The sequence below is a fragment of the Homo sapiens genome, chromosome 8 (genome assembly GCF_000001405.40).
Source record: "Homo sapiens chromosome 8, GRCh38.p14 Primary Assembly".
Taxonomy (NCBI): domain Eukaryota; kingdom Metazoa; phylum Chordata; class Mammalia; order Primates; family Hominidae; genus Homo; species Homo sapiens.
The window spans coordinates 129,704,426-129,728,501 of NC_000008.11; the positions used below are offsets into that span (position 1 = coordinate 129,704,426).

Consider the following 24,076-nt stretch of genomic DNA (forward strand, 5'->3'; position numbering starts at 1 on the left):
TCCCTTCCCTCTGTCCCTTTTTCCTTCTGCCCCTCCCTTCTTCCCTCCTTTTTTCCTGTGTCACACAAATATGACACTATAAACAAACAATTTCTATGTTAAACCCCGATGCCACAACCTTGATCATTTGGAACAGCCCCCTAATATGCTCACTTCAAGGTTGGAGTCTTATGCAGTGTGGAAGCACTTGGAGGCAAGCTTGGCCATTATCTCCTGCCACACAGGGGACTGCAAAGATGCCCATGACCTGGTCCCCAGGCCCTCCAACCTGGAGGTTTCTGCTGCTTCGGGGCCAAGCTTTGGTCACAGGAATCCTTTGTCAGGCTGCCTCAGATCCCATCTGAATTGACGACCACCCAGCACCCTTTCCTGTGGCTCTTGCCAGCTCCCTAGTATTCAGTTCCCTGAATCTTCACTGCTGTGGAACCTACAGATTCCGCTTGATTCCCCCAACCTGAGGGAATCTCATGCTGGCTTTAGGGTCTAAGTCAAGCACTTTCATTGCTTCTCATAGACATTTTGTCCATTTGTGAGACATGGCTTCTTCTAAGGACTCAGGCCTAAACCATTTACCTCTCTGTGCTTCAGTTTCCTCTTCTATAAAAATAACTACCTACTCATAAGATTGTTAAAACGATTAAATAACTTAGTAAATGTAACTTATTTAGAACATTGGCTATCATATAGAAAATACCATATAATCAATTACTATTATAATGAATGATGTGTTGCAGCTGCCAAAACAAAAGTAATCATTCTTTAGGCTGCATTAATGGAAATATAATAAGTATAATAGTGGAGGTGATAGTCCTTGTATAATCGCCACTAATGAGACCACACACAGTATATCTCAATTTCAGAGGAACTATTTTAAGAGAAATTTACATAAACTGAAGAGTATTCAAAGGAGATGGACCCAAATGGTGTAGAAGAGTAACACCTTCTTATATGAAAGGGGGCTGTATTAGTTCATTCTCATGCTGCTAATAAAGACATACCTGAGACTGGGTAATTTATAAAGGAAAGAGGTTTAATTGACTCACAATTCAGCATGGCTGGGGAGGCCTCAGGAAACTTACAATCATGCCAGAAGGGGAAGCAAACACGTCCTTCTTCCTTCTTCACATGGCAGCAGCAGGAGAAGTGCCAAGCATCAGATCTCATGAGAATTCACTCACTATCACGAGAACAGCATGAAGGTAACCACCCCCAGGATTAAATTCCCTCCGACTGGGTACCTCCCATGACACATGGGGATTATGGGAACTATAATTCAAGATGAGATTTGGGTGGGGACACAACCAAACCATATCAAGGGCTGAAGATCAGAGATGGTTAATTGGATGCAGAGAAATGTGGAGTGAAGGGGAGGAGTAGAAGAGAGGGGGCATAGAATTTGTCTTCAAATATAGGAAGGGCTATTTTGCCATCTTCATCTTTGTGTCCCCAGGTCCTGGTAGGATGCTTGGCACTAAGGTCATGCTTAATAAATTTTATTGGTTCTACTTGGTTGAAAAGTCAATCAGGTAATCAATCAATCAATATATTCATATGGATGAACAGTGACCTGATATTGGAAATTATAGGGAAATAATAGTAATTAACATGAAGAAATTTTAAAAATAAATTTAAAGATAGGAAGGGAATTCCCTTGCCCTTGGAATGATGACTCTTAGTGTCTGTTTAGGAAGGTGATGCTGCTGGAGGAGGGGCTCAGGTGTAGAGGAATTGAAACTGGTTGATGTGGATGCATTCCAGATTTTCTATTTCTCAGACCAATACAAATTTTCTCCACCAAAAAAAGTCAGAGGAATTACAGAGGGTTGCCAACTTTTTGCCAACAATGGATATTACCACTAATTCAATTATCATCCACTATTGCAGTCATTCTGCAAAAACAAAAATCAAAAAAAGCACATTTTAACAGAAGGGAAGAAAAGGAAAAACATGATCTCAGAAGAAAGGAAATGCTTTAAAGTCATAACCTTGGCTTTCCAAACATCACTCTCTTTTCCTCACTTTTCTGTAAAGCAGTGAAAATATCGCCGAGCAGCACCAGTTTGAGGGTCTGTATTTGAGAACTACTGAATTCAATGACTTTAAAGTCCTTTCCTGGCCCAGATACTTGCCATTTCCAGTCCAAAAATGGAGCCAGGCACTTAGCAGGCATTCAGTGTATATCTGTGGAAGGAATGATGGAATCACTTGCAGGCATTTGATTTTAGGCAACATTCCTCATCCTCAAGATGGAAACCCCATGCTACAAGCACAGAAGCAACTCCCCAAAAAGTTCATGGAGGAAAAATATCAGTTAAAACTCATGAGGACAGAAGAGAGGCTACATTGCTCTGCTCCAGCTGACCTTTGGAAAGCCATATTCTCTCTACCTCCTGTATTTCCCCCACCATTAATGAACATCCTACTATTTCCATAGTATTCAGCTGTCAATAGGGCACTTGTGTGCATTACACCATTTGTTCATTTATTAAACGTTTATGGAGCATTCACTGTGTACCAGGCACTGTGCTAGGTTCTGGAAAATAGAGAATATTTAATAATAAAGTGTTCTCTCTCCTCCAGACATGGTGGTACCCCCATTCTGTGCTCCCCAGCCATCATTACCTGTCACTTCCTCTCACGGCACTGTAAGCTTCTCCACAGCAGGGGTTGCATCTATTTAACTCTGGATGCCCAGTGCCTGGAAGGATGAAGTGATCAGATGGAAAGAACCAAAACAAGCTCTGCCATATTCTCAGCCTGGATAGAAAAAAAAAAAAAAAGCCCAGATAAGTAATGTGGCTGGTGCTGATCAGGCATCTAAAAAATATTTGATTGGATAAGCCCTGAATGCAAGGATGGCTGCACAATCTGCAGGGCCCAATAGGAAATGAAAATATAGAGCCTCTTGTTCAAAATGCAGGGAAAACATGCCCTCACAGGAACTAAAATATGAAGATTTTTTTCTTCCTTTCATGGTTTCTTTTTCAGTTAGGCATGGTGAGGGTTTTGTATTTGTTACTCAATATCATTCTAAGGAAAAAATGTAAGTACCATTAATTTTACTGTTCTTCTTTATATTGTGCCATGCCAGTTTTAAATGCAAATATAAGAGCATTTAACTCAAATGCAGAATCACCAAAATTATATAATTCAAAATTGGTAGTCTGTATTTCCTTCTTACCAGAACAATGGAAACAGCTCAAAGCTATTCTTACCAGAACAATGGAAACAGCACAAATGTTTTTATTACATTTCTTGATACACATATATTCTACCAATGCTTTCTACCTTTGGTTTACTGATGAGTAAGGAAAGACTTCAAGGAAAGGAAGCTATGGCTCATCTTATCTTCGCTTTTCATCAACCATCATTCTTGGCATAAGTGGTTGACTAATACAAGGAAATAGCACAAATAAAAACAGAGATAAGAGGATAGAATTCTTTGGTGGTTCATGCTTCTTTGAATGCCATTGCTTTCTTTTCGCACTCAGAGTAAGCTCTAGTCCAAATGGCCTGTCTTGTATGCACTTTAAGTCATGCTGATCTCCCAGGCATCGTGAGTCCACCAGAGTTCTGTGCTCCTGGGCATCATGAATGTCCCAGTGTGAATGGCATGGTGAGGTACTGTGGACACCCATACTGTGCATCTCTCCTCTGTTCAAGTGTGTGCTTCACTGTCCCGTTGGACTCCACTTACAAAACGTAAGTTCAAAGATAAAAAGACTAAGAATTTAAGACTGTGGCAGCAGGGCATTAAGCCAAGAATGAGTCATGGACAAGCTCATAAAGCCGGCTCTGCTTAGAGGGGCCCCAGAGTTCACAGCCAAGGGAACAGTTCCTGAAGGCTGACTGAGATGCTGAGTCCAGAGCCCTAAAGACCCAGGCTAGTTAGGCCAGGTAAAGAGGGCAGATTGGTTGCTTATGGGAGCTGCCTTAGCAAGGAGAAAAGCATCCCAGGCTCTGCAGAGAAAATGGCAAATGCGGCTCTGTCTCCCTGCAGGACTCAGAGAGTAGTTTGGGATGAGAAGCAAAAGAAAGCAGTTACAGTCCTCCTACACTCAGCCTTAAGGAACCTCCTAGAACCCAGAAAGGGAAAAATAGCCAAGACAACATTCTTATATTCACCAGGACTCTGAGGCCTGAGCAATTTCACTGCTAGCCATAGAAGGGCCATCTTTCACATTGGTGATAGTTGTCATGGGAACGGAAGTCAGGGGCAATGGATTCGGCACTGGCCACGCAGCCAAGTGGGTTTTCTCCTAGGACAGGGCCCACTCCTGGACTTTATTCAAGCCTTGCCAGATAGAAATTGGGAATGCCGTCCTTAACTAACAGCAAACAAAACAGCTGAAATGCCTCTTCTAGCACCAAGTCTTCTTCAGCTGTAGGTGAACCATTGGTTTTCTCTCTGGTTCACCAGCCAGATGTTGAAAACCTTTCCAACTCTGGACAATGGCCCATGCCACCTACTGGCTGAGTGTCCTTGGCTAGGTACCTTTATGGGCCTCAGTTTCCTCATCTGAATATAGGGGAAATAATGCCTTCCTCAAAGAGATGTGGAGGTTAAACGAGGTAACACATGAAGAAGGGAGTATTCTCTTTGTTTTTCCTTACACGTCCCCCTTCATTTTGTATATTCTATCTCCCTGTTCAGAAGTATTCCTGCTGTCTGTGTCCAAGAAAGTCCTGAACAAATATTACCCCATCCATGGCACTTCTATTTCCAGCTGTCACTGAATTCCCCCTTCTTTTTTTTTTTTTAATGTTTATCTATCCCACACATTGGAGCAATTGGTTACATTCAGCTGGCTGAATGCTACTGTGAAAAAGGGATGAATGGCACTGGAGGAATTTCTAAACTCAGTAAGTCTCAGTAGTGTTTGTTTACTTTATCATCAGAGTCTTCAGCACAAATCCTGACACATCAGAGGCACACAGTAGATTGAATTACGACAGTGTTCAGCTTCAAACTCTTTTAAAAAGTTTCCTTTTGGCCTCAAAAGGTAGATGATAGATGGCTAGATATAAATAGATGATAGATGATAGATAGATAGACAGATAATAGATAGATGATAGATAGACAGATGATAGATGATAGGCAGATAGTTGATATAGATAGATAATAGATAGATAGATGGTAGATGATAGATGATAGATAGATAGATGATAGATAGATAGATAGATAGATAGATAGATAGATAGATAGATAGATATGGAGATAGATAGCTATGTATCTCCACACTTCCATCATGGCCTGCCAAGGCTCTCTGCATTATCTGACCCCTTCCCAATTCTCTGTCCTCATCTCTTGTCATCCTTCCCCTCCATCATTACTTTCCAACCCCATTAGCCTGTTTTCAAAATGTCTCCTCAAAAATGTCAATCTCTTTCCTACAATAAGGCTTCACGTATGCTCTTCCCTCTGTCTGAAATGACCTTTCCCCACTGGCGGCAGCGCTAGTTCTTTCTCACCATAGAGGTCTCAGCTTTATTGTGGTGTTCTTTGATCATCTCATCTAAGGTGGTCTTTCAAGTTTCTGTGATGGTAGAAACTATGTCTTTGTTGTTCATCTCTGGGTACCAGCATTTAGCATTGTGCATGACACACAGTTGGTAATTAACAAGTTGAATGAATGAATGCAAGCATAAATGATAAATGAAGTAAATACTATTTTTTTCTTCTCTTCATGCACGTATTTTTTTTCTGGGTGCTTTGCAAATGCAAACAGTATCTTCCACTAGAATGCCAGCAGGGTGAGCATTATAGATTTCTTTTGTTTCCAGTCTAGCATGCAGCACAGTACAGTGCTTGTATACAACACTCAAAGAAATTTTGATGAATGAATGAATTATTGAATGAATGAGCAAATGGGCACGTACCCAAAACTTGCTGGACTGAACTGAATTAAGTAGACCTGCCGGCATAAAGGAAGTGCCACATCCTTGCACCGGCCAACATGTGTTCTGCATTTGTCAGTGATGCTTTCTTGTGTTTGGTGTGTTCACATGGTCGTCACCATCAGCCTGCTAATGGGATCATAAAAGAAGGGGAATCAGGGTCCTGGGCTTTTTCAGAGTCATCAGCTCAAAGCCCTTTTAATGTGAGTTCCTGATTCGATTGGGTGTGGAGAGAAGAGAAAAGGTGACGAATGGCCCAAATACAAGGAAAATTCAAATACCTGACTTTGTTCTTATCTTGAGAAGAATGTGACAGCCTGAAAGAGTCAGCAGCAGGCATACTGAGTCATGATGAACTAAGAAACTCAAGAATGTCCCTTGATAAATGTTTGCTGGATGAATGAATGCTTCTGTTGCTTATTACCTTTTAAGTGAATAGGGTCAAAGGTTGCTATTAACCCAAGGCTCATGGGGGAAAGATATTCTTTGTGACCTGGCAGGAATTATTACCAAGGGCAGACGAGGCCAGCAAATTCACATGGCTAATGAAGACAGGGTCACAAGTTTGAGGCCCCCTAGAGACTAGTTATCTGCAGGCAGAGGGAAAATCTGCTTCACAACCATATCACATGCCCTAATGCTGGGCAGCCGTCTTGCAGATTCATGCATTCCTCCTGGACCATCTTGTCCAGGAGGGGAAGGTCTAGGACGGATGCCTTTGCTGAAACCCCTTATCAAAGGAAAACAACCAAATATTTGTTTACATTTGATTAGGACATGCTGCTGGTGTTGGTGATGATGATTATAGTAGCATTTATTGAGTAGTTACTCTGTGACAGGTGGTATGCTAAGCTCTTTACATGAATTTTTTCACTTGATCTTTACATGCGTGTACAATCATGCCACCTTACAAATGAGAAAACTGAAGTTAACAAAATTACTTCACATCCACTCTCTTATCCATGTCATCTAGTTGAATTGATGGCAGCCTTGCAAGGTAGAATTTATTCTCTTTCTTTTACAGATGGGAAAACTGAAGGTGGAAGAGATTTGTTGATTTACCAAAAATCACACATTTGGGAAGGAGCAGAGCCTCCTACCAGATCCCAGTATTCCAAAAGTCAGTTCCATTATCTTAGCTAGGACAAAACAGAGACCATTTTTTCTTGATAAGCAGATTAATAACATGGTCTTTACACATGAAGTGTGATGAGTTCAAGACTAAGGAAAGCAAGGCTGACCGTTGCAAAGAATTGCCATCTAAGAGGTGACCCAACCCAAACCCAGGGGTTTCAAGGCTGATGAGGGGGCACAATGAGATACAAAAGGAGAGACCAAAGGGTCCTTCCTGCAAGCCCAGTTCTGCCACTTACTGTGTGCGCTGGGCAAGTTACTTGACATCTCTAGGCCACTAGGCACTGTTCTAAATGTTTTAAACGCATCAACTGATTTAGTCCTCATACTACCATTTGAAGTGATCATTAGTTAACCTCATTTTATGAATGAGATAACTGAAGAACAAAGAGACCAAGCAGCTTATCCAAGATACCCAACTAAAACGAGGCACAATTGGGATTTCGATCCAGGTAGTCCAGTTATAGTGCCTGTTCTCTGAAGAGTCACAGCATGCTACTAGAAATAATAATAAAAGGGCCTGGCATGATGGCACACATCCACAGTACCAGCTACTTGGGAGCCTGAGGCACAAGGATCACCTGAGCCCAGGAGTTTGAGGCCTGCCTGGGCACCATAGCAAGATCCTATCTCAAAAAATAAACATCTTAATTAATTAAGAATAATAATAACAATAATAATACCTAGTTCATAGGCTTTGGGGGATAGAATGCATGCAAAATGCATAGCAAAGTGTCTAACATGTAGTACTTATTCAATACGTGGCATATTTTATCATTGAATACATTTCTACCTTAGAAGTTTTATTTTTCAATAGGTATACAGGAATATCATGATTAGCAGCAGTTAGATGATACAGACCGATGGATGGTCCAGGATAGTCTAAGACTTGAAATTAAACATTTCGTGCATGGGCCAAGCTACAATTCCCAGAAAAGCATCTAACTCAGCAGGCCAGTTCTGGTGCTAGGCCTATTTCCTATGATGGGTTCTAGTTCAGGGTTACCAGCAGTCACAGGAATATAAAGCAGCAAGAAAACAGGGGCAAGTTGTACTCTACACAAGTCTATATCTAGGAGGTCCATCATCAGCCACCAAGACCCGAATCATTGGGCTGCAGCTCCAGGACAAGGCTATAAATCCTGGAAAGGAAGATCCCATGAGGGCAAGGCAGGTCTGGGAAGTAGATATGTTATGAAAACAAGGGCTTGGGCATAGAGACTAAGGGAGAGATAGGTGGCTGGGATCAAGATAAAGTTTATCCCAGTTACCAGATAACTGGACAGATGATAAATATTAGACAGGCAACCCAAGTGAGACCTGAAATTAAGTTTCATTTTACCCATCTAGAGTTTCTTAAAACTCTCCTGCCTTGGGGCAGCAGGGAGGCTCAGAGCTTGGCATGAGGTGAGACATAGACGAGGCTGAGAGGTTCCAGCTGGCAGTGAAGAGCTCACCAAGGCTGGGATCCAGGCAGGGTCCAACACATTCAGACTGAAGCTGGATGAGCAACTGTCAGGGATGTCGGGGTGAGGAGGCTGGCCTCTGGTAAACGGTTGGATCAGTGATCTTTGCTATGCCTTTAACTCTGCAATCCCTCGAATGCAACAGACTCACGCACTTTTGCTCCTCACTCCTCCCTGGATCCTCATGAGCTCACTATGGACTAAACAGAGACTTGCTAGAACTGCTTTACATGATAGCACTTTTGTTCCAAATGTGGAGACAGCACAATGCTCCAAGAGCTGAACCTGACAGAGATGTCTCTGAGAACAATCTCCCTACAACAGCAAAGCCATCCTGAAACCTACAACTTCACAGCTGTGTGTCTGTTTTCAAAGGTGATGTGACTGGCCGTGGGGAGGCAGGAGCCCCAAGAATGGTGCTGAGGCTCTCAAGGAGCAAGGAAGGGACAGTCCCAGCCATCAATGGAGCCTTGTGGCCTCAGTGAAAGGGAGGAACGCCCTGTCTCAGGAATGCAACCTCCAGAGTGCAGAAGACAGCCACGCTTTGCCATTATGAAACCCCAAACACTCTGGGTGTGGTGAGACTTTTAAAAGCCTATTCTGCTGTCACTGAGGAGCCTTGGAAATGTGGAGAGCATACCACCCAAGGCCATTAAATACCCAGACAGCTCCGGACAGAGACAAGAACAAGGATCCAATGAGCTTGAGGCAGAGTGTCTCAAAGAAATAAACATGCGGTGAAGGTATTTCCATAGCCAGTAAATACTGTCTTTCAGGGGGTTCAGAAGGAGACCAAACAGCCTGCCCCCACCATCCCCCAATAAAAGAGTGACACTGTGTAACTAAGGAGTGAGCGGCCAGGCACAGAAGCCAGAGTTCCCAACCACCCTTTAATTTATAGGCCATAAATGATGGAGCCCATGATCTATTGCCCCTGACTCAGGGGGGATTTATTCTGACTAAGAGCACACACAGAGCCCACTGATATAACTAATGGCCTCGGGTGGAAAAAGGTCGGGCTCTCACTAAATGCTAAGTAAAGATGTTTGGAGCAGACAGTTATAATACTGAGAGATGATTCCAAACATCACATGAAGCAGCAAACACTACTCATCTCAGCTGAGGTCAAGCTGCAGGGGAGAAAAACCCGGGATGCTGCAGACAGGGAGTGACAGCCTAAAGCAATTGGCAACAGAGCTTCATCTCTCACAACCCTTCCATTTTACATCTTTTCAAGTGTGCCTCTTACCCGAGCTTTCACCCATCAAAGCCCACTCTCAGGTAAAGGTTGGATCCACTCCTTCACACTGAGCTGCCAGTGCTGGGAGGGCCTAAACCTCATCTGTCCCATGATTATTGCCGCTCCAGAGATAGTTCAGTGCCCATCACAGAATGTGGGCTTAATAAATCTTTATTCAATGAGTAAAAAGACAGAAATAGTCTGTTTTTATTAATTCACTCATTCATTCATTCCTCCGTCCATCCATTCATCCAACCAGTGTTTCTCAAAGGGAACTTGTTACAAAGAGAGAGCTTCTTTCATGACCAGTGCCTGGGAGGCAAAAGAGACTTTAATAATGTTTTATTTTCACTGTGTATCTTATTGTTGTCATCTATCTATAGCAAGTGATACTGATTTTCCATTTATGGTAGTGATTTCAAGTTTCATTTTGTCCAAATTTCTTCCTCCAAAATAAGAAGTCGATTTAAATTTAAAAACTTCAGTAAATAAACACACAGATTTTATAATTACATGGCCAAAATCCTCTAAAATGAAGACATTCTCAGATGAAAGATGGCTAAGAGGATTTGTCACCAGCAGACCTGCTTGAAAAAAATTGCCAAAGGAAGTTCTTCAGGCTGAAGAGGAATTATATCAAAAGGAATAAAACTTTGGAATTAAAAGAAGAGTGGCATAAATGTAAATAACTTGATAAATATAGAGATGATTTTTCTTCTCTTAAATTCTTAAAAATATGTACAACGATTGAAAGCAAAAATTCTAACATTGTCTGGGAGGTCTCCAATGTAATAGACATAATATACATGTCAATTATAATACCAAGGGTAAGGTTAAAATGACCTGAATGATGGTAAGGCGTCTATGCTTTACCTGAAGTGATAACATATTAACTCTAAATAGAATGTGAACATTTAGGTGTGTATATTGTAAAGCTCAGAAAAACCACTAAAATAATATAAATATTAAGACACAGGGTCATAAACAGTGTCTCTTCCCCAACCTAGATGTGAAAGCCTTATGATTTTCTGGGCAGTAGACAGAATACTCAGAGGGTCTTCTTAACTCAGTAGTGGAAAATAATCAGTCCTAGACTAAACACTGTTCTGGCCCAGCCTATAAAAAAGACATAAAAGCAACACTCCAAAAAATCTGTTTCCAAGTAACTTAACAGTGTCCCAGAACAAGACTCTGTAATATAGGAACACAAAAATATCCAGCATCAAACAGGGTAATTAGAGTCCCTAAATGAGAGTGATAGGAGACAGAAAAAAAAATATTTGGAGAAATATTTCTCTAAAATGTCCAAATTTGATGAAATCAGTAAACCCACAGAACAAGAATCTCAAAACCCTGAGTACAAGTAGTGAAAGAAAAACTATCAACCTAGAATTCTATGCCTACCTTAAATGAGTTTCAAAATCAAACTAAAATAAAGTCAAAAGAAAAACTTTTACAGATATATGAAAACTAAACAAATTTATTCACCAGCAAAGCTGCATTACAAGAAATACAAAAAGACATCATCATTTAGGCAGAAGGAATATGATATCAGACGGAAATGTGGATCTACGCAGTTGAAAAAATACCCCTGGAAGTGGTAACTGCATGAGTAAACATATAAGATTTTTTATTATTTAAATATCTTTAAACAAACTAATCTGTTTAAGCAAAAATAATAACAATGTAGTACAGGTTTTATAATACATGTACAAGTAGAATATATGTCAAAAATATCATAAGGTTGTAAGGAGAAAAATAGATAATGCCATTGTAAGTTTTTTATACTGTACATGAAGTAGTATAATATTACTTGAACCTAAAGCAACTTCTAAAATAACAATACAAAGTTATAGCAAATAAGCCAACAAAGAAGATAAAAAGGAATTATTTGTTTAAAAAATTACTCATTCCGAAAGAAGGCAAGAAAAAGGAAACAACATATGGGCAATTTTTTTAAAAAGTGGCAAGATGATAGACTTAAACATGCCATATCAAGAATCCCATTAAATGTAAGTGGTCTAAATATCCAAATTAAAAGGCAGAGATTTTCAGAATGTGGGAAAAAGCAAGACACAATCATATGCTTTCTACAAGAAATGTACTTTAAATATGAAGACACAAAGAGATTAAAAATAAAAAGGTAAGAAAAGATATAATGTATTAATACCAATCAAAAGAAAGATGCATTTGGTATTTTATTCTCTTTGTAGCAATTGTGAATGGGAGTTCACTCATGATTTGGCTCTCTGTTTGTCTATTAGTGGTGTATAGGAATGCTTGTGATTTTTGCACACTGATTTTGTATCCTGATACTTTGCTGAAGTGGCTTATCAGCTTAAGGAGATTTGGGGCTGAGACAATGGGGTTTTCTAAATATACAATCATGTCATCTGCAAACAGAGACAACTTGACTTCCTCTCTTCCTATTTAAATACCCTTTATTTCTTTCTCTTGCCTGATTGCCCTGGTCACAACTTCCAATACTATGTTGAATAGGAGTGGTGAGAGAGGGCATCCTTGTCTTGTGCCAGTTTTCAAGGGAGTGCTTCCAGGTTTTGCCTATTCATTATGACATCGGCTGTGGGTTGGCCATAAATAGCTCTTATTATTCTGAGATACATTCCATCAACACCAAGTTTATTGAGAGTTTTTAGCATAAAGGTGTGTTGAATTTTATTGAAGGCCTTTTCTGCATCTATTGACATAATCATGTAGTTTTTGCCATTGGTTCTGTTCATATGATGGATTACATTTATTGATTTGCATATGTTGAAGCAGGCTTGCATCCCAGGGATGAAGCTGACTTGATCATGGTGGATAAGCTTTTTGATGTGCTGCTGGATTCGGTTTGCCAGTATTTTATTAAGGATTTTTGCATTGATGTTCTTCAGGGATATTGGCCTGAAATTTTTTGTTGTTGTTGTGTCTCTGCCAGGTTTTGGCATCAGAATGATGCTGGCCTCATAAAATGAGTTAAGGAGGAGCCCCTCTTTTTCTATTGTTTGGAATAGTTTCAGAAGGAATGGTACCAGCTTCTCTTTTACCTCTGGTAGAATTTGGCTGTGACTCCATCTGGTCCTGGGCTTTTTTTTTTTTTTTTTTTTTTATTGGTAGGCTATTAATTACTGCCTCAATTTCAGAACTTGTTATTGGTCTATTCAGGGATTGGACTTCTTCCTGGTTTAGTCTTGGGAGGGTGTATGTGTCTAGAAATTTATTCATTTCTTCTAGATTTTCTAGTTTATTTGTGTAGAGGTTTGTATTTCTGTGGGATCAGTGGTAATACCAGCTTACAAGGGATGTGAAGGAACTCTTCAAGGAGAACTACGAACCACTACTCAAGGAAATAAGACACAACACAAACAAATGGAAAAACATTCCATGCTCATGATAGGAAGAATTAATATCGTGAAAATGGCCACACTGCCCAAAGTGATTTATAGATTTGATGCTATGCCCCTCAAGCTACCATTGACTTTCCTCACAGAATTAGAAAAAAACTACTTTAAATTTCATATGGAACCAAAAAAGAGACCATATAGAAAAAACAATCCTAAGCAAAAAGAACAAAGCTGGAGGCATCATGCTACCTGACTTCAAACTACACTACAAGGCTACAGTAACCAAAACAGTATAGTACTGGTACCAAAATATACATATATATACCAGTGGAACAGAACAGAGGCCTCAGAAATAACGGCACACATCTGCAACAATCTGATCATTGACAAACCTGACAAAAACAAGCAATAGGGAAAGAATCCTCTATTTAATAAATGGTGTTGGGGAAACTGGCTAGCCATATGCAGAAAACTGAAACTGGACTCCTCCCTTACACCTTATACAAAAATTCACTCAAGATAGATTCAAAACTTAAATGTAAGACCTAAAACCATAAAAATCCTAGAAGAAAACATAGTCAATACTATTCAAGACATAGGCATGGGCAAAGACTTCATGACTAAAACACAAAAAGCGATGGCAAAAAAAAGCCAAAATTGACAAATAGGATCTAATTAAACTAAAGAGCTTTTGCACAGCAAAAGAAACTATCAACAAAGTAAACAGGCAACCTACCAAATGGGAGAAAATTTTTGCAATCTATCCATCTGACAAAGGGCTAATATACAGAATCTACAAGGAATTTAAACAAATTTACAAGAAAAAAACAAACAACCCCATCAAAATTGGGCAAAGTATATGAACAGACACTTCTCAAAAGAAGACATTTATGCGGCCAACAAACATATGGAAAAAAGCTCATCATCTCATCACTAGTCATTAGAGAAATGCAAATCAAAACCACAATGAGATACTACCATCTCACACCAGGTAGAACGGTGATTATTAAAAAGTCAGGAAACAACAGATGCTGGAGAGGATGTGGAGAAATTGTAACGCTTTTACACTGTTGGTGGGAGTATAAATTAGTTCAACCATTGTGGAAGGCAGTGTGGAGTTTCCTCAAGGATCTAGAACCAGAAATACCATTTGACCCAGCAGTCCCATTACTGGGTATATAACCAAAGGATTATAAATCATTCTGTGATAAAGACACATGCACACATATGTTTACTGCAGCACTATTCACAATAGCAAAGACTTGGAATCAACCCAAATGCCCATCAACGATAGACTGGATAAAGAAAATGTGGCACTTATACACCATGGAAATACTATGCAGCCATAAAAAAGGATGAGTTCATGTCCTTTGCAGGGACATGGGTGAAGCTGGAAACCATCATTCTCAGCAAACTAACACAGGAACAGAAAACAAAACACCACATGTTCTCACTCATAAGTGGGAGCTGAACAATGAGAACACACGGACACAGGGAGGGGAGTATCACACACCGGGGCCTGTCAGGAGGTGGGGGGCTAGGGGAGGGACAGCATTAGTAGAAATACCTAATGTAGATGACGAGTTGATGGGTGCAGCAAACCACCATGGCATATGTATACCCATGTAACAAACCTGCATGTTCTGCACATGTATCCCAGAGCTTAAAGTAAAATAATAACAAAAAAAATCTTGAAAAAGAAAGATGCATTTGGCTATATTAAATTCAGACGAAATGGACTTCAGAAGACACAATATTACCACAGATTATAATGTTCATTTCATAATAATAAGAGATCAATTCATCAAGCAAACATAACAATTCTGAATGTTTATGTACCTAATAATAGAATTTCAAAATACCTGAAGTAAAAACTGATAAAACCAAAAAGAGACGTAGAAAAATTTACAATTATGGTGTAAGATTTCAATATCACTAACTCAGTAATTAATCAAACAAATTGACAGAAGATTGGTAAGGAAACTGAAGACTTGATCAATACTATCAACTAACTTGACCAAATTAACATTTATAGAATCCACCACTCTATATAAGCATAATACACATTTTTTTCCAAGAGTACATGGAATACTTACGGAGGTAGATCACATTTTGGGTCACAAAATAACTCAATACATTTAAAAACGATTCAAGTGGCCAGGTACAGTGGCTCACACCTGTAATTCCAAAACTTTGGGAGGCTGAGGCAGGCAGATCACTTGAGGCCGGGAATTTGAGACAAGCCTGGCCAACATGGTGAAACCCCGTCTCTACTAAAAATACAAAGATTAGCCAGGTGTGGTGGTGTGCACCTGTAATTCCATCTACTCAGGAGGCTGAGGCACAAGAATCTCTTGAAATCAGGAGGCAGAGGTTGCAGTGAGCCAGTATCACTTCACTGCACTCCAGCCTGGGCAACAGAGCAAGACTCCATCTCTAAATAAATAAATAAGTAAATATCCAAGTCACATAACTACTCCAATAACAAGTGTTCTCATCCATAAATGGGAACAATATCTACCCTTTAGGAGTCCCTATGAACAATTCGAAACAATATGTAAAAGAATATGAACAGAAAAGACACTCAATCATGTAACTATTATAATGTGCTCAAGGTAGCCAAGCTAGAAAGTAGACAGGATCCAGAGTAGAAGCCCTAGTCTGCCAAACATCAAAGTCAATACTTCCCAATATACAAATCAGATACCCTCACAGTGTTTTGGTGAGAAGAAATAGAATAGTGCTTGTGATCATCCTTTGTAGGCTAAAGACCACAAATTCACATGTAGCAAATAATTACTATTATTATCAACATTTGAGGTTATGAATTTGAGTATGTACAATGTCCTGATATCAGGATGTATCAAAAAGTTTCTTTTTTTGTCTAAATTCTCATTTAATAGAGTATGTTTTAAAAGCCAATAACTTGATTGTCTCCTGAGTACTGTAATAAACATATACACGTTCACATCCACATAAATATATTGTGTATGAATATACATATAAGAATAATTCCACATACATAAAATATTAATGTTATTCTATCTGTATATATACACGTTTTATTACATATTACATGTTCATGCACCTGTGTACAAATAGTATCTACATTTGCAATAATGTCAATATATATAGTCAATAACAGATTTGCAATAGTAATGTCAGCTTATACTTACATGTTAATTTATAGTTTCCAAAGCAATTTCATATACATCATCTCATTTGATGTTTCCAATTGTCCTACACTGTAGGTAGGCTAAAAATCATCACAACAAATCTTAGTGGGAAAAGCATGCCTTCTAGAATCAGGAAGATTTGGTTTCAAATTCTAGCCAGGTCTGTTGCAGAAGCAGATTCAGAGACGTAGTGAAAATAAAATGGGATAAGTGCAGTGGGAAACTGAAATAGATACTGGGAAGCCCAACCTCAGGTGCACAAGATGGACAGGCAGAGAAGATGGGCTGGAAGAAGTTCTATCTGAACTGTCTTACAGAAGTGACTGACATAAGAGTAATGGATCCCAGGGGATCAAGGCCCCACATGCAAAGGCACTGGGACAAGAAACCATTTTTGTTGGTTTCACTTTTTCTTCCTGAATCCTAAACCTGGGTCTTCCAATGGCCCATTTTTCTTACCTATTCACCATGTTCTCCCTTCATGATTTTACTGGCTACATCATTTTTAATTATTGCCTCCCACTTTAGAAATGGTCTCTCTGCATTGACTCAGTCCCAAATTTTCAACTACTAGGTTAGATGCCCAGCTATCAATAGCAACCCAACATGTCTACAGTAGGTTTCACTCCCACCCCTTTGCCTTACTCCAAATCATTTTCCTGACTTCTTTGTTTCTGTTAAGAACAGACAGCACCATCTTCTTAATCATCTGGCTGAAGCTGGCAAATCCTACTGCCTTACTCTTCTCTCCTTCATCTACCACATCTTCTTGTAATTCTTCTCAAAAGCATCCTCAATTTTAATTATTTTACAACTTTTAGTGTTAAAGACTTGATACTGCTCAATATTCTAGTGTATTAGCCCATGATCTTCTTGTGGAAATGGTAGAAATTCCAACTCAAATTACCTCTCATAAAGATAATAATTTGTGGGAAAATGTAACTGAAAATTAGACTTCAGACAGGGCTGGATCCAGGTCCTCATTACTACCAAATATCACTCTCCATATTACTGCTCTAGTTCTCTCTGACTTGACAGCACTCTCAGTCACTTTTTCTTATGTAATAGCAAACAGAACTTTGGGTTTACATCCTACCAACTGGCAACCCCATTGGTAAGAGGATACCTCACTCATGGTTCCAGCAAACACTCTATGAATGATCGTTGTGGTTTCAGAACAATGCGCTGTATGTTTTCTCCTTGGCCAGACCTAGTTCACTAACCCCACCCTCAGAGTGGGGGTTAGATTAGCCCCACCCAAATCACAATGACTTAGAGTGGAAAAGACGGTCCCCAAAAGCAGAATTGAAGAGCTACTACCCTAAACTGAGAAAGGACAGCTAGTTGGCCAAAAAAATTAAAAACATATAAAATATCCCTCCAGTATGTTCCTTTATGGTATTTCTTAATTCCAATTTCATTCCAGTTTAAGTCACTCTATTCCCTGTTTGCAAATTAATCTTAAAGATACATTTGATTATTTCTTCCCACTGTTGATGAGTGTTCAATGACTCCTCACTAGAAGCCCTACGGTGCTCGGGGAATAGCAATTTGCAAGCAAGTGTGAAAAATTTCAGAGCCCTCCTTGAATGAGAGGGAGAGATTTTGAAAGAGGTGAAGCTTTAATGAATAATCAATGTGGGTGAGTGAAGGAGTTACAGTTTTATTTCTGGTAGCCCAACTGGACACCTTGGGTTAGTGTAGCTTATAAACAAGTCTGTTACATAAGAATTCACCTGTCATGGATGGGATTCATAGAAAAGCATCCAGAAAGGCAGAATTTGGCAGCTCTGAGTTTCCTGTGTAGCTGTCAAAATCCTTATTTCACCTACTGGAGTCCTTTGGCCCTTCTACTGCCCCAGGAGAGCTACATGAGTTTTTCTCTCTTTCTCATATGTCATGAGCCCCACTAGAATGCAATACTATGAGGACAAGGAATGTGTCTATTTTATTGATGTCTATATCCCAATGCCTAACAGAGCACCTGGAAAATTGTACCTTTAATATTTATTGAATAAATGAATGAATGAATGGTAAATGCCAAACAATGTCTTTCTCACTTCAACATATGTTAACCCAGAGTCTTACATATAGCATAGTCTTGCATACAGATGGATTTAACTTTTTTCAAAACACATATTTAAAAAGGATTCTAGTCATATGTTTTTGTTTGGGGCCAGCGAAAATTTTGAGAATTAAGCTGATTTGAATTATCTACGCACCAGAGTTCTAAAATTGATAGATTCTAATCATAAAACTGTAGAATGTTCACAAACAAGAGGGAGGTACTCACCACATTCTATTTTTCTGTGCCATTCCCATTTCAGTGTAAGCACCACTGAAAGCAAACACCAAAAACATTTTCAAACAAATGTTATCTATTCTTAGATGTGAATCATGCCACTGTTAGCCAACCATGAGTAAAACTACCATCGTGCATGCACATCCTTCCTCCCAACCTAGAAAAATTCTACCCGTCCCAGGGTCTTCTGACCTTGACACTCACCCTCTGCACTGCTAGGTGGCCATCCGGGCTCAGCATCTAGCAGTTTTTTTGTTTCTGTTTTTGTTTTTTGAGATGGAGTCTCTCTCTGTCGCCCAAGCTGGAGTGCAGTGGCATGATCTCGGCTCACTGCAACCTCTGCCTCCCGGGTTCAAGCTATTCTCATGCCTCAGCCTCCTGAGTAGCTGGGATTACAGGCATGTGCCACCACGCCTGGCTATTTTTTCTTCTCCTTTTTTTTTTTTTTTTTTTTGTATTTTTAGTAGAGACAGGGTTTCAACATCCTGGTCAGATTGGTCTCGAACTCCTGACCTCATGATCCACCCGCCTCGGCCTCCAAAAGTGCTGGGATTACAGGCATGAGCCACCGCGCCTGGCCGCATCTAGCAGTTTTTTACTGCTTGGGAAACCTAGTGAATTTTAATGCCATTGATCAACTCTGCTCAAACACTCCTGGCATGAACTGAGCAAAGCCCTGGTTCCTAGGCAGCCATTACAAAAGCACAAGGATTTCCAAAATAAAAAGAGACCCAGAGCACACTTGAATCAAGGGCAGTTGCACTGTTTATTTGCAAGTGATTGGATTGCACCCCTACCTTGGTTAAATGGTTTATTTCTCTATGAATTACTCTAGAAAATACTACTACTCTAGCCCTTCCAATTTTTAACTAAGCTGAAAGTATTTTTACTTTTTCCAGACTCTCAGTGAGGAAAGAATGAGGTATGTTTTAATGCTGGAACTTCTAGCAAATAGTAAGTGTTCAATAAATACTTGTTGAATTAACTAATTAATTAATATGTGGGCACAAAAGCTTGCTTTTGCATCCTAAAGCAATCATGGCCTCTGGGGAAAGCCAGGCTTGCTGTATCCTGAGGCAATCACTCACTCTGGAGAAATCCAGCCTCCATGTTGAGAGGGCACTCAAGCCATCTATGGAGAGACCACATGGTTAGGAACTAAGGCCTCCTGCCTACAGCCATGCAAGACAGCCATCTTCAAAACAGATCCTCCAGCCTCAATTAAGCTTTCAGGTGACTATAGCCCTTGCCAACATCCAACTGCAGTCACATGTAAGACCCTAAGCCAGAACCAGCCAGGTAGGCCATTCCCAAATTCTTAACCAGCAGAAAGAGGAAAATATAAGTTAAATGTTTATTATTTTAAGCCATTACGTTTTGGGGGTGATTTGTTATGCAATAGATAATACAATCTATTTGTTTATCAATAGATTATATTGATAACACAATAGATAATACAATAACAATTTGTTTGCAATAGATAATACAATCTTCTTTCACCTTGTCTGAGATGACAGCTTATTAAAATACAAACTCCTGGAAGGCAGGTTTTCTGTCTTATTCCCTCCTGTATTCCTGGTATCTTGTATGCATCCAATAAACAATGAGTAACAACTCACTTAATGACAAGCTGGTTCCTAATTTTGTATAGAAAACTATATATGTTCACACACAGAAACAGAAGTAGAATTCTTCAAAAAAATGATACTTTTTAGCGAAAAAGCGTTAGATAGCATAATTATCCAAAAAGGAACTATTGGAAATTATGGAAAAAAATGTTATTAGAATTCACATAATCCTCCTCCCTTACTGGGGTGGGAGGGAGCTACCTATAGAAGGAATACAGGGCCTTGAAGTATTCAAAGAAATAACAATTAACAAAGGGCATAGTTTGAGGAGCCCAGCTTCTCATGAGAAGAAAAAGGCATTGCAAGGTGGCACAGAGGGACTAAGATCTCAAGCTCTACTTGGAGGTTTTCTTGAAGTGCTCCTGAAGCAATATCATAAAAGGAATTTGAGAATACAAGGCCAGTTGAACAAGTTAACCCTTCAGCCCCTTTCTAACTTGAGCTGTTGTGATTGCTCCTGTCCTCTGCTAGCCTGAGAAAGCTCAAGAGGAAGACCATGGGGCCACCATTTTCCACATTCACATTCACACATGCCCTCTCTCCATCAAGTATCTTATTAGACTATCTGTTGGAGTACAGGCTAAATAAGTGTCCTCAAATAAGTGATGGTGAATAATGGCAGCACGTCCCTGTCCTGTTCCCTGACAATAAAGCTGGTATAGATTAAAGGCAAGATTTATCCTCCCTGGAACCTCAGGTAATGAACTGACTACCTGTATTCAAATCAAAGACACACTCATGCGTTCTTTTCTTTCTAACAGCTCAATTTCCAGAGTTGATATTGTGTACTCTGCCACATGCTGTGAGGTATGTAAGAAAAGTGGCATGTGGCCTGGCATCTCAGTTACTTATCACCCCCCTCCAGAGCCAGGGAGCAGTTTCAAATGTGTTCGATTGCCCAAGATCTAAAAATTAAAAATAGTAATTTAAATGTCCCAGATCAGAAAATCATATTCTTCTCTTCTTTCCATTTGTTGCTTTTGAGTCTCGCCACGACCACAATATCAGGTACACAGCAGGCCTCTAAAACTCAATATTACTATTGCTGTTAGTTCCATTGATTCAAGAAAAGCTTGTTGGGCATCAACTATGTGCTAGCACTATACTAGGTTCTTTATATACACTATTTAATTTATGTCAATAGCAATCCAATGCGCTGGGGAAAATGAAGCTCAAAGATTTTGAATTATTTACCGGAGGTTGCAAAGTTAGGGATCGGCCCAACTCCAAACCCAGGTTTTTCTGGTTAGCCCTGCTGCCCTAATCAATACAGTCTTTTAAATGAAGAAGAACTTTGTATCCACCAAGATAATGAATCCCAAGATTCTCACCACCCCTGCTTTCTTATGTGTTAACCAAGATTCCAATGTTTTGAAAGACTTTAATTGCCTGGCTGAATTTATTTAAAGAGAATATTCCTCTGCTTATGGAAAAATATTTGAAACTCCCAACCCAGGTCTTTGCTCAACATGAGACAATCAGATTTATCACAGAATCCATAATGATCCTAGCATAAGCAGTTGACATTTTACCAAGGCATGGCTTTTCTGAAATATTGACAATTGTTCTAAGTTCCTCATCATTCTGGTCTTACCTCCCAGAGATTTTTAAGGGAGACATTTAATACAATCAATGTAGTGTTTCAAGAAGGAGGTTCTATTCTGATATTAATATAAAAGGAGACCAGTGTTAGGCCCTCAGTTGATGCCCCACTTCTCCCAGCCCACTCCATGTTAACCCAGCAAGGAGAAAGACATGGAAGAGGGGAGGCAGGAGGGCAGGGTGTGAGAGAGAGGAGATGGCCTTGAATTCAGTAGGTCCGGAAGCATATAAAGGAGAGTGGCAGGCAGCACCAAGCATCCTGCTGTTTGACAATGCTGCCACCTTCTGGCATATATTGGAAATTTACTAGAAAAATATTACTAGTCACTGTCATTTTATAGATAACCCAGAAAGATGTGATCGGATATACGAATAAAGTTTGTTTTAATTACCTCCAAGGTATTCCTGGTATCTATTGAAACTAGAATTCAATACACTTACTTTTCAAGCTCCTGTCTTTTAAAGTATTCCATACTGTGCGTGGACGATTAGAGAAACTTCCTGGATGTCATACTTACCTCCATGCAGGCTCCCTTCCAATCCAGTCCCTCCCCCCACCCACCCCCTGCCTCTAGCAGTCAGAGTCTCCATGACTTAATTTCACTTGGAACAAATTCAAATGTGTTTCTCTGGCCCAGGAAGGATCCCAAACTGGTAGCCTGCAAGCCCAGTTACAGCAGCTCAGCTTTTATATAAATGACCAGAATAGTGTTTTAAATGACTACAGTGGGATACCCCCATGTCTCAGTCTTCCAGCAACTTCCCAACCACACCCAATACACATACACACACACACACACACACACACACCTATTCACATACTCATTTACGCACATGGCCCCTGAAGTCAACAAAGTTTACTTGGAAATTTACATTCATCCAGAACCTCAGAATGTGCCCTTATTTGGAAATAGAGCCCTTGCAGATGTATTTAGCTAAAAAGAAGTCATGCTGGATTAGAGTGAGCCCTAAATCCATGACTTACGATGGACATATAAGGACATATAACTTATGTCCTTATAAGAAAAGACAATTTTTTTTCAAGATGGTGGATTAAAGCCTTTTAGTGTGTGCTCAGCCACTTGGAAATAGCAAGACAGTGCATAAAGATCAACTCTGTGAGCTTAATTCAAGAAGGAAAATGGGAATCCACCAGAATTGTGAAGGACATTCCAAATCCCAGGGAGGAGAACGCCGGCAAACAGCCCCCATGACAGTGTATGGCTGATAAAAGTAAGTGAAGCCCCAGTACGTGAGAGAGAAAGAGAACCTCCCTCTGTAAGTCACATTTCCGTGGGGATCCGAGAAAGACAGGCCGAGGGAGAGCACTTTGTTTCTCTCAAGCTGTGGAACTAAGTTGGGGAGAGGTTTGAAGCCACTGTGAAGGAATAGGAATGGGAAAAGCTACAGACATATTCCCAGACTCAGGACTGAGATCAGGATGCCATTTTTAATCTAGGCACATACAAAGTCACCCATTCTTTGCTGACCCGGTAGCATGACTGCGCAGGCATTTTAGTCTTGGGTAAGAGATTGGAGCACCTGCTCTGGAGTAGGGTAGGAGCCTCCACAGTCAGAACTGTGCAAAGTGCCTCAGCAGTAGGTGCTAGAATTGTATTCTCCCCCATCACAGGTCTGGGGCAGAAGAAAAGCTGCTACAGCTGCAGTTTTATGTGGGCAGCAAGACTTCAGCCAGGGCCATCTTGGCAACCTGGAACCCCCCTGCATATGCCATTGCTGGGTGCCCAGACTGCTCCTCTGAGATCATGGTGTAGCAGGGCCCTCTCCACTCCACCCCAGACAGAAATCCAGGCATTCAGAGCACACTTGGCCGGGACCAGCAGCCTAAGCTGCCCCATCCATCCTGGACATAGACTGTGGTGCAGCAAGGTCTTCACTGCTCTACACCCAGGCAGATCTCCAGGCATTCAGAGCACCGGCTTGCCCAGATCAGCAGCCTGAGTCTCCTCACCCCTCTTGTGCAGAGATCTTGGTGCAGGGGGCCCTCTCTCCTCCACACTCAGGTAGATCTCCAGGCATTTGGAACACCCACTCAACTTGATAAGAAGCCTGACCTGCCCCACTGTTTCTGTGCAGTGACCCTGGTGCAGAGGAGTCCTCTGCTACACACCCAGGCGGATCTCCGGGCATCTGGAGCATCCACTTTCCTGGATTAGAGTTCAGGTTGTCCCCGCATCACCATACAGAGAATAGGGGACTGAGGAAGTTTTCCAGCTCCACACCTAGCCACATCTCTGGGTGCTTGGTGGCCACCCACTGGATTCT

At 40.4% G+C, this 24,076-nt stretch overlaps 1 protein-coding gene across 2 annotated transcripts in view, besides 3 other annotated features; it reads right to left on the reverse strand.

The window, feature by feature from the left end:
- Positions 1 to 1,009: 1,009 nt before the first annotated feature.
- GSDMC (gasdermin C) overlaps positions 1,010 to 24,076 on the reverse strand; it is an 81,190-nt gene continuing 58,123 nt past the window's right edge. The window contains exons 15-17 of one of the 2 annotated variants that reach the window (XR_928340.3): positions 2,623 to 2,757; positions 1,986 to 2,181; positions 1,010 to 1,889 (exon numbers count right to left, since the gene is read on the reverse strand). The gene's annotated coding sequence lies outside the window, so the exon portion shown is untranslated. Of the gene's footprint in view, positions 2,182 to 2,622; positions 2,758 to 24,076 lie in introns of both variants that reach the window. The other variant, XR_928339.3, reaches the window with a different exon arrangement.
- Positions 2,494 to 3,693: an enhancer, noted in NCBI's record as "P300/CBP strongly-dependent group 1 enhancer chr8:130719165-130720364 (GRCh37/hg19 assembly coordinates)". NCBI's record gives its function as "activates an origin of replication core promoter dependent on BRD2, BRD4, P300/CBP, MED14 and CDK7 cofactors, with strong dependence on P300/CBP, by STARR-seq in HCT116 cells {active_cell/tissue: HCT116}" and the evidence as "EXISTENCE:reporter gene assay evidence [ECO:0000049][PMID:35650434]".
- Positions 5,666 to 6,865: an enhancer, noted in NCBI's record as "CDK7 strongly-dependent group 2 enhancer chr8:130722337-130723536 (GRCh37/hg19 assembly coordinates)". NCBI's record gives its function as "activates an origin of replication core promoter dependent on BRD2, BRD4, P300/CBP, MED14 and CDK7 cofactors, with strong dependence on CDK7, by STARR-seq in HCT116 cells {active_cell/tissue: HCT116}" and the evidence as "EXISTENCE:reporter gene assay evidence [ECO:0000049][PMID:35650434]".
- Positions 8,333 to 8,506: a silencer, noted in NCBI's record as "fragment chr8:130725004-130725177 (GRCh37/hg19 assembly coordinates)". NCBI's record gives its function as "represses an EF-1alpha promoter that drives an FKBP-Casp9 reporter gene in an ReSE screen in K562 erythroleukemia cells {active_cell/tissue: K562}" and the evidence as "EXISTENCE:reporter gene assay evidence [ECO:0000049][PMID:32094911]".